Source organism: Homo sapiens, chromosome 19 (assembly GCF_000001405.40).
Source record: "Homo sapiens chromosome 19, GRCh38.p14 Primary Assembly".
NCBI classification, from domain to species: Eukaryota; Metazoa; Chordata; class Mammalia; order Primates; family Hominidae; genus Homo; species Homo sapiens.
Window position 1 is genome coordinate 10,885,679 of NC_000019.10, and position 17,857 is coordinate 10,903,535.

A 17,857-nucleotide genomic window follows, 5' to 3' on the forward strand; every position below is an offset into this window, starting at 1 on the left:
CGGGAAGGCGAAGATAGGCTGGAGCTTCCAGATTTCCATCCTGTGCCCTTGAGGGACCCTCTGCAGGAGCCTGGCTCTGCCTTTGAGCCCTGGAGCCCCTAGATGCAGGATGATGGGATGCCTGGCTCTTACTCCCGCTCACACACTCCAAGTCTCGCTATCAGGACAGCCCCCCACAGGGAGCCACAGCAGCCACAGCTCACTCCCTCATTTTTTTTTTTTTTTTTTTTTTTTTTGAGACAGGGAGTGCAGCGGTGTGAACACAGCTCATTGCAACCTCAACCTCCCAGGTTCAGTTCATGCTCCTGCCTCAGCCTCCCGAGTAGCTGGGACGGCAGGTGGCCCCACACCTGGCTAATTTTTTTCTTTCTTTCTTTCTTTTTTTTTTTTTTTTTGAAATGGAGTTTCACTCTTGTTGCCCAGGCTGGAGTGCGATGGTGTGATCTCAGCTCACCACAACCTCCACCTCCTGGGTTCAAGTGATTGTCCTGCCTCAGCCTCCCCAGTAGCTGGGATTACGGGCATGCGCCACCACGCCCGGCTAATTGTGTATTTTTAGTAGAGACGGGTTTTCTCCATGTTGGTCAGGCTGGTTTCGAACTCCTGACCTCAGGTGATCCACCCGCCTCAGCCTCCCAGCCTGTAGCTGGGATTACAGGCGTGAGCCACCGTGCCCGGCCTAATTTTTGTATTTCTTGTAGAGACGGGGTCTCAACCATGTTGCCTAGGATGCTCTCCAACTCCTGGGCTCATGCAGTCCTCCCACCTCGACCACCCAAAGTGCTGGGATTACAGGCGTGAGTCACCATGCCCCGCCCCCTCCCTCATTTTTATCTTTTATCTTTTTTTTTCTTTTTTAGAGATGGGGGCTGGGTGCGGTGGCTCACGCCTGTAATCCCAGCACTTTGGGAGGCTGAGGCAGGTGGATCACAAGGTCAGGAGTTCAAGACCAGCCTGGCCAAGATGGTGAAACCCCATCCCTACTAAAAAATACAAAAAAAATTTAGCCGGGTGCAGTGGCAGGCACCTGTAATCTCAGTTACTCTGGAGGCTGAGGCAGGAGAATCACTTGAACCTGGGCAGCAGGAGTTGCAGCAAGCCGAGGTCGCTCCACTGCACTCCAGCCTGGATGATAGAATGAGATTCCATCTCAAAAAAAAAAAATGGGGTCTCAATATTTTGCCCACGCTGGTCTCAAACTCCTGGCTTCAAATGATCCTCTTGCCTCAGCCTCTCAAGTAGCTGGGCCTCCTGCCTCAGCATTCTGAGGAGCTGGGCCTCCTGCCTCGGTGTCCCGAGGAGCTGGGCCTCCTGCCTCGGTGTCCTGAGGAGCTGGGACTGCAGGGGGGCACCACCATGCCCAGCTCACTCCCTAATTTGTATAAGAGGAAACTGAGGCACTAAAACTTTGGTGGCAGAGTTGGGATGTGAACCCAGGTTTGGCCCTGATCCGTTCACTTGGCCATCAGCCCTGCAGCCCCTCCTGCCACTTTTCCCACTCTCTGACTCCTCCACAGGGCAGTGCAAGGCCATGGAGGAAGTGCCTGCCCAAGGCTTACCCCTGCTGCTCCTGGTCCTTGTCCTGTGTCACCGTGTTGGCCATAGCGACCTCTTCCAGAGCTCGCCAAAGCCAGGGTCCCGTCTCCCCTGGTTCCTGCCGTGTGCCTGATTTCTTTGTGGCATCAGTAGTGTCTGCCCCCTTCGCCTGTGCCACATCTGGAATCACATCTGGCGAAGCAGCCTGCAGGTCCTGGGGCGGAAGGCGGCCTTCCTAACCCAAACATACTGTTCTCTGAGCCTTGGTGGGGCCAGAAGGGCTCCTGGAGCGCCCTGGGACCTGGCAGAGGGCCTTCCTGCAGCTTTGTGGCCCAGGACATCCTGTGTCTCTGGCTGATGGTCAAAACCTTTCCTTATTCTTTATTTTTTTTTAAATGTTTTACTTTTTGTAGAAGCAGGGTCTTGCTTTGTCACCCAGGCTGGTCTCAAACTCGTGGTCCCAAGCCATCTCTCTGCCTTGGCCTCCCAAAGCACTGGGATTACAGGCATGTGCCAGCATGCTCTGACTCAGACTCTTTCAAGAGGTGCACTAGGCAGGGACTTCAAGTGGGCCTCAGCCCCAGGGCAGCTTCTCCCTGACCCAACTTCGATTTCCTCCATTGGAGGCTGCCTCCGCTCCAGCCTCTCTGGAGCGCCCCCCTGTACTCCCCTCCTCTGGGTGAGGCCCTTTTGCCAGCCTGAAGGCAGGCCCCAGCCCAGCTTGCTGCACTGAGCTCTCTGTCCTTGGCAATGAGAGCCAGGGTGTGGAGGGTCCCAGTCGCTCTGGGAGATGATCCCCCTCAGCAGCCTGGGGTCTTCTTGCCGCTCCATGACACGCCTCATTCAGCCCGACCTTCCAGGCCACTGTGGGTGTCTCCTCTGCAAAGGGCCTCCTGCTGGCCTAGTCCCCATAGAGAGCTGCAGCCCAGCTCCTGCCATGTGTCACAATGTGACAGACCCTCTTTAGCACCAGGAAGCAGGCTTGATTGCCTCCTTGTAGTGGTGAGGCTCAGGGGTCAACTAGCCTGGCCTGGCATTGCCCAGGCCCAGAGCACAGGTAGAACCTGGGGTCCCCTGAGCGTGGCCCCCAGTACCTCCCAGCTGGCTCTCTGGAGGCTGGGATGGAATTTGGCTGTCTTTGGACCAGCTTCTGGGTCCCCAGCTGAGCCACCTGGAGACTGTCATCGCTCTGTTGCTTGGTTTCCCCTCTTAAAAATAGGACTAAGGTCGACCTGGAGGGTGGTTTGAGCACTAACCGAGGCCCTGCACAGCCAACACCTAAGAGTGCTTCCTGGGGCTCCATAAATCACAGCTTCAAAGTCTTGGCCCGCGGGAGAAGAAAGACTGGGCGAGCTGGCCCAGCAGACAGCATGTGGAGCGAGGGGGCTGGTGCAGGCCGGTTTTGTGGCTTTGCACCGCGCCCCCACCCCCTACCCTCCACAACCCCATGCTTTTCATAATTATCCACTAAGCTCCCGCGCTTTCTGGGGCTGTGGAACCCCAGCTCACATCTGCTGTCTCTTTTGTAGTGCACAAAGCCCCAGGCGGTGGCAGCTGATTAGCATGGATGCAGGAGACATTTGCATGTAATAGCTCCCAGTGAAGGGGGTGCCCCGTCTCTTTTTCAGAAAAGCCAAGCTCTTTGTCTTGGCCTTCTATTCTTGGGGTTGCCCTTCGCACACCCCACAACTGAGCAGACTGTCACCCACAGGTCAGGACTACAGGGGAAGCTGTCGACCCTTGAAGGTGGAGCTTAGGGACCAGACCTTAGAGGGAGCCCCCTACTGAGTGCCCCCCAGGCCTCTGACTGAAGAAGCTTCACAGTGATTTATGAGGTTTGGGTGTCCTCAGTTCAGGGGGCTTTCTCCAGAGCCCACCTAGATGGGGCACGCATTGAGTGCTCTGTCTCCTGAGATCTGACCTGGCAGTCTGGGGCAGGGGGAAAGGGCAGCTGCCCCAAGTAGTGCTTGGGGGCACCATGGAGGCCTTGGCCTACCTGAGATGCCAACAGGACACCCACAGACACCTCTGTTCCGTAGGTGGCTGCCTCTCAGCCCTGCCCATACACCACCCAGTGTCCTGTCACTGCGCAATTTGAGAATTTTTTTTTTTTTTTTTGAGACAGAGTCTCCCTTTGTCACCCAGGCTGGAGTGCAATGGTGCAATCTCGGCTCACTGCAACCTCCGCCTCCCCAGTTCAAAGGATTCTTCTGCCTCAGCCTCCCAAGTAGCTGGGATTACAGGTGTTCACCACCATGCCCGGCTAATTTTTTTTTTTTTTTTTTTGTATTTTTAGTAGAGACGGGGTTTCTCCAAGTTGGCCAGGCTGGTCTCGAACTCCTGGCCTCAGGTGATCCGCCTGCCTCAGCCTCCCAAAGTGCTGGGATTACAGGCGTGAGCTACCATGCCTGGCCCAGAATTGTTTATTACCTTCTGTAATCCTACATTCTTGGGGACTCCTGAAGTAGATTCAACACTTTGACTTTGTGAGTTGCCAATGCATTTCCAAGCCCGGATCCAACCGTGGACCCTGGCCTTTTGGGCCAGCAGAAGAGGTGGCTGTTTTTTCTCATGAAATATTTTTGAAGGAATGAAGACGAATGCAGCCAACACCTGTGCACTTCCCACCCTCATTTTAAGGAAACCTTGCCCATGGAATGAAGCCCCCCATCCAATCCCCTCCCCAGGGAACAGCTTTATACTAACTCTGGTGGTCGGCTTTTGGAGGGGCCATAAATGGCCTGAAAAGCTAACCTGTAACCTGTAAAGCTTAAACTTTACAGGTGGGATGTAAATGTTGAGGCGGGAGGATCGCCTAAGGCTGGGAGTTTGAGACCAGCGTGGGCAACATAGCAAGACCCCATCTCTACAGAAAAATAAAAAATTAGCCTTCCATGGTGGTGCATGCAAGCCTGGGGTCCCAGGTACTCAGGTGGCTGAGGCAGGTGGATTGCTTGAGCCCAGGAGTTTGAGACCAGCCTGGGCAACATAGGGAGACCCTGTCTCTACAAAAAATATAAAAATTAGGTGGTTTTTTTGTTTTTTGTTTTGTTTGTTTTTTTTTTTTTTTGAGACAGAGTTTCGCTCTTGTTGTCCAGGCTGGAGTGCAGTGGCGCGATCTTGGCTCACTGCAACCTCCGCCTCCCGGGTTCAAGTGATTCTCCTGTCTTAGCCTCCCAAGTAGCTGGGATTACAGGCGCCCACCACTACACCTGGCTAATTTTTGTATTTTTAGTAGAGATGGGGTTTTACCATGTTGGCCAGACTGGTTTCAAACTCCTGACCTCGGGTGATCCACCTGCCTCGGCCTCCCAAAGTGCTGGGATTACAGGTGTGAGCCACCCCACCGCGCCTAGCCTAAAAATTAGTTTTGTGTGGTGGTACATACCTGTGGTCCCAGCTACTTTGTTTTATTTACATATATATATGTATATGTATATACGTATATATGTGTATACGTATATACATATATACACACATATATACACACACATATATACACATGAATATATAGACACATATATACACATGCATATACACACACACATATACACACACACATATATATATATATATATATATTTTTTTTTTTTTTTTTTTTTTTTTCTTGGTATAGCTCTATCCTTCCTGAAGTCCCAGCTCCTTAGGAGGCGGAGGTGGGAGGATTGCTTCTTGAGCACAGGAGGTCGAGGCTGCAGTGTGCTATGACTGGGCGGGCCATTGCACTCCAGCCTGGGTGACAGAGGGAGACCAAAACTGAGTCAGTGTTCCCAAGCAGTGTGTGAAGCTGATTCTCTGTCAGCCACGTGCCAGATGGGTTGGGTCCCAGGGGTGGCCACCTGGGGGACAGGGCCAGACACTTGTTCTGGGCCCAATATGGCCTTGTGTCCAGAACTCTCTCGGTGGCTCCTTCTCTCGACCCTTTGCCTTGAGCCGGAGCACTGTGGGGACACAGGAACCAAGACTGGTGTTTTGTGCCAATGCCACACTACTGTGTGCCCGTGGGTCTTGGGCCGGGCATGGGTGGGTTCGTCCTCATGGCTACACAGTGAACCATGTGTTATTTTATTTTTCTAGACACTAAAGCTGAGGTGTCGGGAGGTGATGGTCCCTTGCTTGCAGGTGGCAGAGCTCAGGTTCAAACCTGGATCTTACTGCACCTGGCTCGTTTGGGAGGCCTCCCTTGCTGGAATGCAGGTCAGGGAGCCCCGATGCCCTTGGGCTGACTGCCCCACGTCCATCACACCCACTGAGGGCCGTGGGGTGGGTGCAGGGCTTGTTCTGGGAGATTCCAAGCTGAGGAAAGCAGGGCTGTCCGCCAGCCTCCAGCTGGGTCACAGAAGAGGCTCAGGGCCTGTTCCCACTCCCCTCCCCCAGCCAGCAGGGTCCAAAAGGATGTTGGGGGGGTGGTCCCCAGTCCGGCCTGCCCACTCTAGGGAGGGGCCCAGATAACTTGCGTAGACGCCGGCCCTCCCGCCCCCAGCCTTCGCCATTGCCTTTTGTCTGGCTATCTTTCATGTACAAGGGAGAAATTCAAGCCACTCAGGAGGGTGTAACATGAAAAGTCAGTCTCTCCTTCTCTCCGCACTGCCCGTGACCTGTGGTTTCTCAGGCACATACAAGCGCGCACGCATAAATCTCTCCTCCAACCTGCTGGGCTTCAAGTTATGCACGTTCACACAATGGCAAAGGAGGGTGCGGATTGAAAAGTATGACTTGCTTCCCGGAGGCAGCACTGAAGTCACTTTATTGTGTTTCCAGACAAGCCCCATGAATGCAGTGTGCACTGCCCCTCCTCCCTCTGTCCCTTCCCCGCCCATCTGTACACCTGTGGTGCGTAGGTTTTACACCACTCTGTGCCTTACGTTGTGGCTCGATCATTTAACATGTCAGTGTGTACCGATGGAAATTGATCTCTTTTAATTTGCCACATCTTCATTTATTCATTCTTTGATTAATTGATGGATATTTAGGTTTTCTGCTTTGGGGGCATTCAGATCCAGGTGTATCTCTGCAAGTAGAGCTTGTAGCATACATAAGGCCCTGCAAAGGGATTTCTGGGCCGGAAGTTTTTGATCAGTTGCTCAGACATAGTTCTGATGTGCTGGGGAAGTGCCCGTTCAGGGCCATGGCTGCAGGGCTCCTGGACACCCAGCTCCGGTGCTGGAGTGGGGTTGGGATTCGCCCAGAGGCCAGGGCTGCGCCAGAGGAGCCCAGGGTGACCTCATGGTCCTCAGATACCCGGGGCTGGGCAGCACAGTGGAACAGCTGCTCCAGAGCTTCTCCGAGGACGACATCGGAGGATCCGACTCAGGTTACGGCAGGAGAGGGAGGCCAGGCCGGGTTAGGGTTCTGGGGTTTGGGATTCTCTTCCGAGGCTGGCATTGATCTGTTGCTGATGATGGTAACAGCAGCTGCTCTTGTTTATGAAGTACTTAACACCTCCAGCTCCCTCCATTACCTAGGAATCCTCACTGCAGGGAGGGGTTTTCATCCCCATTTTGTGCCTATTTTATTTATATTATTTTATTTTTTGAGGCAGGGTTTTGCTCTTGTTGCCCAGGCTGGAGTGCTATGGCACGATTTCTGCTCACTGCAACCTCTGCCTCCTGGGTTGAAGTGATTCTGCTGCCTCAGCCTCTTGAGTAGCTGGGATTACAGGTGCCCGCCACCATGTCTGGCTAATTTTTTGTATTTTTCGGTAAAGATGGGGTTTCACCATGTTGGCCAGGCTGGTCTCAAACTCCTGACCTCAGGTGATCCACCCGCCTCAGCCTCCCAAAGTGGTGGGATTACAGGCGTGAGCCAACACTCCCGGCCCTGCCCATTTTATTTATTTATTTTTATTTTTATTTTTTTCAGATGGAGCTTTGCTCTTTTTGCCCAGGTTGGAGTGGAATGCAACCTCTGCCTCCCAGGTTCAAGTGATTCTCCTGCCTTAGCCTCCCGAGTTGCTGGGATTACAGGCATGTACCACCATGCCTGGCTAATTTTATATTTTGAGTAGAGACGGGGTTTCACCATGTTGGCCAGGCTGGTCTCGAGCTCCTGACCTCACATGATCCACCTGCTTCGGCCTCCCATAGTGCTGGGATTACAGGCGTGAGCCACTGCCCCCACTGTGCCTATTTTATTTCATTTTGAGACAGAGTCTTACTCTCTCCCCCAGGTTGGAGTGCAGTGGTGCGATCTCGGCTCACTGCAACCTCCACCTCCTGGCTTCAAGTGATTCTCCTGCCTCAGCCTCCTGAGTAGCTGGGACTACAGGCACCCGCTACCACGCCCGGCTAATTTTTTTTATTTTTAGTAGAGATAGGTTTTCACCGTGTTAGCCAGGATGGTCTCGATCTCCTGACCTTGTGACCCGCCTGCCTTGGCCTCCCAAAGGGCTGAGATTACAGGCGTGAGCCACCGCCCCCTGTCATTGTGCCCATTTTATAGATGGGGCTCCTGAGGCCAGGGGTGAAGGCAGGTGCTAGTTCGGGGGATCCAAGCCCTGCCAGACTCTGCTGCATGTGGGCTCTGACCTAGTGAAGTTCCAGGATGGTGCCCTGGGGCCGGGCTGTCAGGCCCTCCACGTGGGTTATGTCACCTCACCCTTTGGGATGTGTCAGGGTGGTGGTTGAACAGATGAGGAAGCCAAGGCCAGGGCTGGAGAACAGTGGGTTCGGCCCTGAACCCAGTCCCTCCTTGATAAACCTAAGTCCTCCTTGATGCCAAAGCCCATCCTTTCAGCCATCTCCCTGCTGGGTGACCCTAGGGTCATCTCTGCCGCCTCTTGGGCACATGGGTGCCAAGCCACACAGGAATGGGGGGAAGCTTCTGGTTCCCAGTTTGGAAACAAGGTCACCTCTGCCAGGGCAGTGGGGCCTGGCTCAGGTGTCGCCTCCTCCCGAGTCTGCCTGGAATCTGAATTGGGCCTGGTCCGCATGCATCAGCTTCCGTGCTTTCCCTCCTCTCAGCGCTTACTGCCAGTTCCTGTTGTCCGTCTCCTCACTGCCCTGCTGGGTGCTGTCTGCCTCCCACTGTGGACTCCCAGCATGGGAGGGCCGGGGGTGGCTCTCTGGTTCACCGCCAGGTCCTCTGTGCCTGCATGTGGTCCGGGCAGAGCAGGCTGAGCAGAGATGCCAGCTGAGTGGGCTTCAGAAAGCGTGTTTTTTTTTCCGTGCCTGTGGGATGGGAGTTGGCCACGGGGGGTCGGGGTGTCTCCCTCTTTTTACCTAACTCTCCTCCTTTGATCGGGAATATTTTCCTCTGGAAGGTGAAGAGCCCATGTTGTCTTTGGCAGCAGGAGGCGATTTAATACAAGACGTACCATTTGGACAACGGCTTCTACAGCTACCAGCTACTCCCCCGCCCCAGGTTTGCCGAGATAAATAGCTTTAATTATTCCTCCATTTGGTGGCTACAGTTGTGTTCCCCCTGGAGATGCAAGAGCTTGAAATGTGGCCTTTCTCCCCCGAGCTGCTGCTGCTTTTCTTCTTGCCCTCCACCTCCTTGTGTTTTTTTTTTTTTTCTCTCTCTCTCTTTTTTTTTTTCTTCTTGAAATGGGGTCTCACTCTGTCGCCCAGGCTGGAGTGCAGTGGCACGATCTCAGCTCACTGCAGCCTTGACCTCCCAGGCTCAAGGGATTTTCCTGCCACAACTTCCCACATGGTTGGGACTACAGGTGCGCATCACCATGCCCAGCTAATTTTTTTATTATTATTTGTAGAAGATGGGGTCTCACTGTGTTACCCAGGCTGGTCTCAAACTCCTGGGCTCAAGTGATCCTCCCCGCTCAGCTTTCCAAAGTGTTAGGATTACAGGCGGGAGCCACTGTTCCCAGCCGGCCTCCTTATTCTCTATCTGCCAAAGAATGTGGCCCTGATGTCACGACAGCATGGGAGGTTCTCTTTTTTTTTCTTTTTGAGAGAGTCTCGCTCTATCACCCAGGCTGGAGGGCAGTGGCGTGATTTCTGCTCACTGCAACCTCCGCCTCCCAGGTTCAAATTATTCTCGTGCCTCAGCCTCCCAAGTAGCTGGGATTACAGGTGCCCACCACCACTCCTGGCTGATTTTTGTATTTTTGGTAGAGATGAGGTTTCACCATGTTGGCCGGACTAGTCTCAAACTCCTGGCCTCAAGCGATCCACGTGCCTTGGCCTCCCAAAGTGCTGGGATTACAGGCGCAAGCCACTGTGCCTGGCCTAGGGATGGGAGGTTTGAAGGGACTCCAGGTCCCCCTGACCCAGGTCTAACGAGCCTCAAGGGCCCAAAGACCCCCTGCTTGTTCCGTTGCTTTCTGGAAGCAAGGGGGAGGGGAAGGAGGTGAACAAATAGTGCTGCTGTGTGGCCACCTGATGCTAAACATCTCTGCGTGGTGAAGCCACTTCCCCAATCAAGGCCATGCGCACAGTGAGGGCAGGCTAGCACTCCAACTTGGACACCTAGACCCCTGAACCCACTGCCCCCTGTGCTTAGGGAAGAGGCTGGGCTGCCCCTGCCCCTATCCCGGGGAGGGCATTCTGGTCAGTACCCATGAGTGCCCCTTGTGTGCTAGGTACTGTGTGGGTCATGCCCAGAGCCCTGGATCTGCGCTTTGTGGGGCTGTCAGGTAGGCATTAAATAATGAGCTGCCAGGCAGTGAGGGCTTGTCCGGGAAATGCTGGAGGACCTCTAGGAGGAGGTGACAAGGAAGCAGGGGAAGAGGGGAGGGTGATCTCTAAGGAGCATCAGAGGCCAGAGAGAACCTCTGCCCATGATCTTGACCGGGAGAGAGTGTTGAAGGCCAGCGAGGTTTGGCTGGAGTGACCCAGGGGGCAGCAGTGAGACTGCAGACATTGGCAGGGGGCTGGTTCCGGAAGGTGCTGGGGAACCGTGGGGCGGTGTGAAGCAGGCGGGTTGTGTTAGACACTGTGCGGCTTGAAGGGTGGACTGGGAGGTGACTGAGGCATGGTATGTCGCCCGGCACCATCTGCTCAGTGAGACCCTTGAGAGACGTCTCCCCGTTCTTCCAAGACCCTCCTGCATGCTGGGACCCAGGGCTGCCGTGGAGCTGCTTGCTGCCCCACCCACCATTCTCTAGTGTATTTTCTTCAAGTCTGGGGCTAGGGAATCCTTATACCTTAGAGTCCCCCAGATTCTGCTGCCCTGGGGGGCCAATAAGGAGGGGATGTGCAGCATGCTGACTCTAAGGCAGGTGGGGAACAGCAGCCAGTCCACCAAGAGCTGCCCTCTTCCCCATCCCCATTGCCTCCTGCCTGGCCAGCCATAGCACTTGGCTCCTTCCCTATCCTGTGTGACGGTGGGTCTCTCCCCACCCTGCGCAAGATCCCTCCCAGTGCTGCCCAGAGCCAAGCCACCAGTCCACTGGGGCCTCTTGCAGTCCCTCCACAGCGCCCCTACCCACATCAACCCACGTTTCTTGGAGGTCTGTCCCAGTAGCCTCCCAGGGCTCACCACACTGTCTGGGCCACCCCTGTTTCCCTGCGTTCCTGCACTCTTCCCCTTACTGGCATATCTGTCCCCAGTCTCCTTCCCAGGCTGGGTCAGGTGCCACCTCCAGGCACCTACAGAGTCCACCACTTGGGGATCTCTGTCAGTCTGCCACTCGGCTGTCCTCACCGCCTCTAGGATGGGGAGTGTGTCTCCATTGCCGAGTGCCTAGTGAGCAGATAGGGAAGTGGGTGGCGAGGATGCTGAGGGTCCAGCCTCTGCTCTGCACCTGTAATCCTTCCGGGTTTTGCAAATGAAGCTTTATGGGCACACAGCCATGCTCATTTGTTTACATATTGTCTGCTGCAAGGCAGAATAGAATCATTGTAGCAGAGATCAGATTCCCCAGCAGAGATCAGATTCCCCAGGAAGCACACAATATTTACTGTCTGGTCCTTTACACAGAAAGTCAGCCAAGGCCTGCTCTAGGAAGCGCAGAGACATTGGGTGGTGCATTGGTGAGGAATAGGGATGCTGGTGCCAGTCACCTCGGCCACTCTTGCTGTGTGACCTTGAGCAAGACACTTAACCTCTCTGAGCAAATAAGGGCATAGTGAGAGTAGATACTCCCAGAAGTGATGAGAAGAGGAAACAGGAGGTCGACATAAGGCACCGGAACAGAGCCTGGCTGTTAGAGTGTTGTCACTCTTATGTCATGTGACATCCCAGCCTCTGCAGGGTGTGGGCAGGCCTGGCTCATGGCAGCTGGGGGTTTGTGACCTGGATTCACATGGTGGAGGGCTGCTTCCTGGGAAGCAAGAAAGGCTGCCTCAAAGATGGGGCAATTTTTCTACCCCCTTCCCTGCAGTTCCAGCCCCTCCTCCCTTGGCCCCAGAGCTTCATCAGGGCCGACTGCAGTGTGGCAGGCCAGCGAGTAGCCCCAGGCTGGGTCCAGGGGTGGCCAAAGCGTAACACTCAGTCCGGGTTTGTGTTCTTTACGTTCCCCGTTGGAGACTCCACCTGGAGATCCCAGTCCCTTTCCTTTTACTGCAGGGTAAAGAAATGCTAGCTCTGGGCCGGGCACGGTGGCTCACACCGGTGATCTCAGCACTTTGGGAGGTCGAGGTGGGTGAATCACCTGAGATCAGGAGTTTGAGATCAGCCTGGTCAACGAGGTGAAACCCTGTCTCTAGGCTGGATGCGGTGGCTCACTCCTGTAATCCCAGCACTTTGGGAGGCTGAGGCAGGCGGATCACGAGGTCAGGAGATCGAGACCATCCTGGCTAACACGGTGAAACCCCGTCTCTACAAAAAATACAAAAAAAATTAGCCGGGCGAGGTGGCGGGCGCCTGTAGTCCCAGCTACTCGGGAGGCTGAGGCAGGAGAATGGCGTGAACCCCAGGGAGTGGAGCCTGCAGTGAGCCAAGATTGCGCCACTGCACTCCAGCCTGGGAGACAGCGAGACTCCGTCTCAAAAAAAAGAAAAAAAAAAAAAGAAACCCTGTCTCTAATAAAAATACAAAAATTAGCCAGGTGTGGTGGTGCATGCCTGTAATCCCAGCTACTCGGGAGGCTGAGACAGGAGAATCGCTGGAACCTGGGAGATGGAGGTTACGGTGAGCTGAGATTTTGCCACTGCACTCCAGTCTAGGCGACAGAGTGAGACTTAGTCTCAAAAAAAAAAGATACCCCAGCTGTGGCCTGGCCTCAATTGGCCTGAACTCACCACGGCCTCCTGGCTCTAGAGTCTGCTTTTTGGTCACCCTTGCCTGCTAGCCCTGCAGCCTGTCCCCCACCTCTCCAGGCCATGTGCACACAGTCCCCAACATGCGCCGGCTGATGCCGCAACAGTGGTGCTTTTTGGATTTGTCTCTAGAGGCCAACACAGAGGGCCTTTCTGAATCCTGGGGTCCTGCCCCCTTCCGCGGCTCCCATACTGCTCCTCCCCAGCTGAATGGCCGCTTTGGGAGGTGGTTGCTGGCCTTGAGAGGATGCCACAGTGAGTTTCCTGCGGGCAGGGCTGCATCTGTGGCGAGCACTGAATCGCCACTGCTGGATCCAGATGCCTGTGCGTCCCGGGCCCCAAGGCTCCCTTCTACCCTCCTCCTGGGGTGCTGTTCGCAAGCCAGGAGACAGGCTGTGCATTCCCTGCCTACTCAGAGGTGACCCTGGGCCAGGTGTGCGATGGCCCACTGGACCCATAGTAGCAGAGGGAGGGGAGAGGAAGGGAGAAAGTGGGAACAGCATGTGCAGAGGCCTGGGGCCTGGCCCATGTAGGGACTAGAGGGTTGAGTGTGTCCATGGGGAGGGGCCAAGACGGGGAGAGCCATGAGGAATGATGGGCACAGAGCTCAGAGGCTCGGGAGTCTCCTGAACAAAGAGAGGAACACGGCTTAGCTTGTTTTTTTTTTTTTTTTTTTTGGTTTGTCAGTATTTCCCAGGTGTCTTCTGTGTGCCAGGGACTAACTTGGGGATAAAGCTGTGACTTTGAGAAGCTGCCGGCTCCGCGGGCTTTAGCAGCTGCTGCTGTGATGAAGCGATCCACTTGCCCTCAGCCCCGGCATCTTTGGCCCAAGCCCAGCCCTAGCCCTGGCTGGGCACAGCCAGGCTTCACTTGGCCACAGGTCCTGTAGTTGCCTGCCTGGCGCCAGGTCAGAGAGGGACGCCTCAGGCAACATCGGGTTGCCAGGCTGCTTGGTAAACAGGCCTCCCTGGGCCCACTTGCTGTCGCCCAGGTGTGGCTAACAGATCGACAGTATCTCCTGCCCCAGGACGGGTATGAGTGTGGGCACCATGCCAAGGTTGGATGTCCCTTCCTGGGACCCACCCACAGCTGGGAGCACTTTATCTTGGGCCTCTGTGGGTGTAGTGAGGCTGTGAGTCTGGGGCAGTGGCCTGCTGACACCCTCCTGGCAGGGCTCAGGAGGTTCCTCCATGCCCTGCCCTCAGGAGGGCGGCACCTGGCTCCTGGGGTGGGAGAGAGTCTGGCAGGACTGGCTGGGTGTGGCCGGGGAGCTGCCCTTCAGGTCTCATATCTGTAGGCCCTCATACCTGGACTCGTCAGTTAGGAACAGTTTTCTTTTTCTTTTTCTTTTTTTTTTTTTTTGAGACGGAGTCTCACTCTGTCGTCCAGGCTGGAGTGCAGTGGTGCCATCTCGGCTCACTGCAACCTCCACCTCCCGGGTTCAAGCGATTCTCCTGCCTCAGCCTCCTGAGTAGCTGGGATTACAGGCACCCGCCATCATGCCTTGCTAATTTTTGTATTTTTAGTAAAGACGGGGTTTTGCCATGTTGGACAGGTGTGTCTCAAACTCCTGGGTTCAAGTGATCCGCCCACCTCCCAAAGTGCTGGAATTACAGGCGTGAGCCACCACGCCTGGCCCATTTTTCATTTTCTATTGAAACAAAATTCACACCTGTAATCCCAGCACTTTGGAGGCCAAGGTGAGAGGATCACTTGAGCCCCAGGAGTTTCAGACTAGCCTGGGCAACATAGTGAGACCCTCATTTCTACAAAAAAATAAACAAAATTAGCCAGGGGTGGTGGCATGTGCGTGAGGTTCCAGCTACCCGGGAGGCTGAGGTGGGAGGATGTCTTGAGCCTGGGAGGTCAAGAGCTGTTGTTTCATAACATGAAATTAGCCCTTTTACAATGTTGCATAACAATCACCTCTATCTACTCCCAAAATATGTTTGTCACCCCAAAAGGAGACCCCACATCCATTAAGCAGTTGCTCCCCATTCCTGCCTTCTCCCAGCTCTCAGCCACCAGCAGTGTGCCTTCTGTGACTATTTCATATAAATAGAATCATTTGTGTCTGGCTTCTTTCGGCATGATGTTTCTGCTATTCATTCATGTTGCAGCATGGCTCAGTGCTTCCTTTATTTTTATGGCTGAATAATGTTTCATTTTATAGATAAGCCATATTTGTTTATCTGTTTGTCAGTTTATGGACATTTGGGTTGTATTTCTATCTTGTGTCTGTCGTGAATAAGTACTGCTGTGAATGCTTGCATACGAGTGTCTGTTGGTTTTTTTTGCTTTGTTTTGTTTTTATTTTTATTTTTTTGAGATGAGTCTGGCTCTGTCGCCCAGGCTGGGGTGCAGTGGCGTGATCTCGGCTCACCGCAAGCTCCGCCTCCCAGGTTCCTGCCATTCTCCTGCCTCAGCCTCCCGAGTAGCTGGGACTACAGGCACCCGTCACCACACCCGGCTAATTTTTTGTATTTTTAGTAGAGACGGGGTTTCACCGTGTTAGCCAGGATGGTCTCGATCTCCTGACCTTGTGATCCACCCGCCTCGGCCCCCCAAAGTGCTGGGATTACAGGTGTGAGCCACTGCACCCGGACTTTTTTTTTTTTTTTCTGAAGCGGAGTCTCACTCTGTTGCCCAAGCTAAAGTGCAGTGGCGCTATCTCAGCTCACTGCAACCTCCACCTCCCTGATTCAAGCAATTCTCCCTGTCTCAGCTTCCTGAGTAGCTGGGACTACAGGCACCCACCATCATGTCTGGCTAATTTTTGTGTTTTTAGTAGAGACGGCATTTTGCCATGTTGACCAGGCTGGTCTTGAACTCCTGACCTCAGGTGATCTGCCTGCCTCGGCCTCCCAAAGTGCTGGGATTACAGGCATGAGCCACTGCACTTGGCCAGCTTTTTGTTTGTTTGTTTGTTTTTGTTTTTGTTTTTTTAAAGAGGTGGAGTCTTGCTATGTTGCCCAGGCTGGAGTGCAGTGGCTGTTCACAGGCAGTCATAGCTAACTGCAACCTTGAGCTCCCGGGCTCAAGCAATCCTTCCACCTCAGCCTCCCGAGTAGCTGGGATCTCAGGCATGCACCACCATGCCCGGCTAATTTTGTTTATTTTTTTGTAGCGATAGAGATGGGGTCTTACTATGTTGCCCAGGCTGACCTTGAACTCCTGGCCTCAAGTTATCCTCCCATCTTGGCCTCCCAAAGTGCTGGGATTACAGGCATGAGCCTGTGCCTGGCCCTGGCTATCTCTTTGTTGTTGAGTTAAAAAAGTTCTTGGCCCAGCCCAGTGGCTCATGCCTGTAATCCCAGCACTTTGAGATGCCGAGGCGGACAGATCACACGAGGCTAGGACTTCAAAACCAGCCTGGCCAACATGACAAAACCCCGTCTCTACCAAAAATACAGAAATTACTGGGTGTGATGATGCATGTCTGTAATCCCAGCTACTCAGGAGGCTGAGGCATAAGAATCGCTTGAACGCAGCTACTCAGGAGGCAGAGGTTGCAGTGAGCCAAGATAGTGCTGCTGCACTCCAGCCTGGGCAACAGATCAAGAATCTGTCTCAAGAAAATATATAGGCCGGGCACAGTGGCTCACCTCTGTAATCCCAGCACTTTGGGACGCCGAGGCAGACAGAGCGCTTGAGCTCAGGAGCTCAAGACCAGCCTGACCAACATGGTGAAACTCCATCTCTACGAAAACTACAAAAATAAGCTGGACGTGGTGGTGCACACCTGTAGTCCCCCAGCTACTCGGGAGGCTGAGGCAGGAGAATCCCTAGAATCTGGGAGGCAGAGGTCACAGCAAGCCAAAATTGTGCCACTGCATTCCAGGCTGGGTGATGGAGTGAGACTCCATCTCAAAAAATAAATATAATAAAAATAGATACAAAATAATTGTTGTTTCTTTTTTTTTTTTTTTTTTTTTGAGACGGAGTCTTACTCTGTTGCCCAGGCTGGAGTACAGTGGTGTGATCTTGGCTCACTGCAAGCTCCACCTCCCGGGTTCACACCATTCTCCTGCCTCAGCCTCCTGAGTAGCTGGGACTATAGGCACTTGCCACTATGCCCAGCTAATTTTGTTTTGTTTTGTTTTGTTGTATTTTTAGTAGACACAGGGTTTCACTGTGTTAGCCAGCATGGTCTTGATCTCCTGACCTCGTGATCCACCCATCTTGCCCTCCCAAAGTGCTGGGATTACAGGCGTGAGCCACTGTGCCCAGACTTTTTTTTTTTTTTTTTGAGACATGCTCTTATTCTTGTCACCCAGGCTAGAGTGCAGCGTTGCCATCTCTGCTCACTGCAGTGTCAACTTCCTGGGCTCAGGTGATTCTCCCACCTCAGCCTCCCAAGTAATTGGGACTACAGGCGCATGCCACTACACCGACTAATATTTTTATATTTTTAGTAGAGACGGGATTTCACCATGTTGCCCAGGCTGGTCTCAAACTCCTGGGTTCTAGTAATCTGCCTGACTCCCAAAGTACTGGGATTACAGGTGTCAGCCACCATGCCTGACCCTAAAATAGTTTTTTATATATTCTGGACACTAAATACTTAACAATAGATGATTTGCAAATAGTTCTCCTAAGAGTTTTCTTGTTTTAGCTCTTATATTTAGGTCATTGCTCCATTTGAGTTCTGTTTTGTTTGTATATGGTGTGAGGTAGGGGTTTAACTTCATTCTTTTCTCTGTGGTTATCCAGTTTTCTCAACAGTGTTTGTTGAAGACACTATTCTTTCCCCATTGAATGTTCTTGGCATCCTTATCAAAAATCAATTGAGGATAAGTATAAGGGTTTATTTCTGGACTCTGATTCTGTTCCATTGATCTGTGTCTCCTTTCTTTTGCCAGTACCACTACACTGTTTTCATTACTGTACCTTCGTAGTAAAATTTGAAATTGAGACATGGGAATCCTCCAACTTCATTCTTTTTCAAGACTGTTTTGGCTATTCAGGGTGATTGAGAACACTTTGCCATATTTGCACTCATGTTGTTGTTGTTATGATGGGCTATTCAAAAGCAAGCTACTGACATCATGGGAATTTGCCATAAATACTTCCGCATATGTTTTCTAAGAAAATATGCATTTCTCTACAAAACCACAATACCATTGTCACATCCAAATAACTTAAAATTATGGAATATG

At 53.2% G+C, this 17,857-nt stretch overlaps 1 protein-coding gene across 4 annotated transcripts in view, besides 2 other annotated features; it reads left to right on the plus strand.

Moving 5' to 3' along the window:
- The window catches only part of CARM1 (coactivator associated arginine methyltransferase 1), a 51,523-nt gene that overhangs the window by 14,126 nt on the left and 19,540 nt on the right, over positions 1 to 17,857 (plus strand). The window lies entirely within an intron of this gene.
- Positions 8,329 to 9,130: an enhancer, noted in NCBI's record as "H3K27ac-H3K4me1 hESC enhancer chr19:11004683-11005484 (GRCh37/hg19 assembly coordinates)". NCBI's record gives its function as "activates a minimal SCP1, AML or CMV promoter by ChIP-STARR-seq in primed H9 embryonic stem cells {active_cell/tissue: H9 hESC(primed)}" and the evidence as "EXISTENCE:reporter gene assay evidence [ECO:0000049][PMID:30033119]".
- Positions 13,567 to 14,184: an enhancer, noted in NCBI's record as "H3K4me1 hESC enhancer chr19:11009921-11010538 (GRCh37/hg19 assembly coordinates)". NCBI's record gives its function as "activates a minimal SCP1, AML or CMV promoter by ChIP-STARR-seq in primed H9 embryonic stem cells {active_cell/tissue: H9 hESC(primed)}" and the evidence as "EXISTENCE:reporter gene assay evidence [ECO:0000049][PMID:30033119]".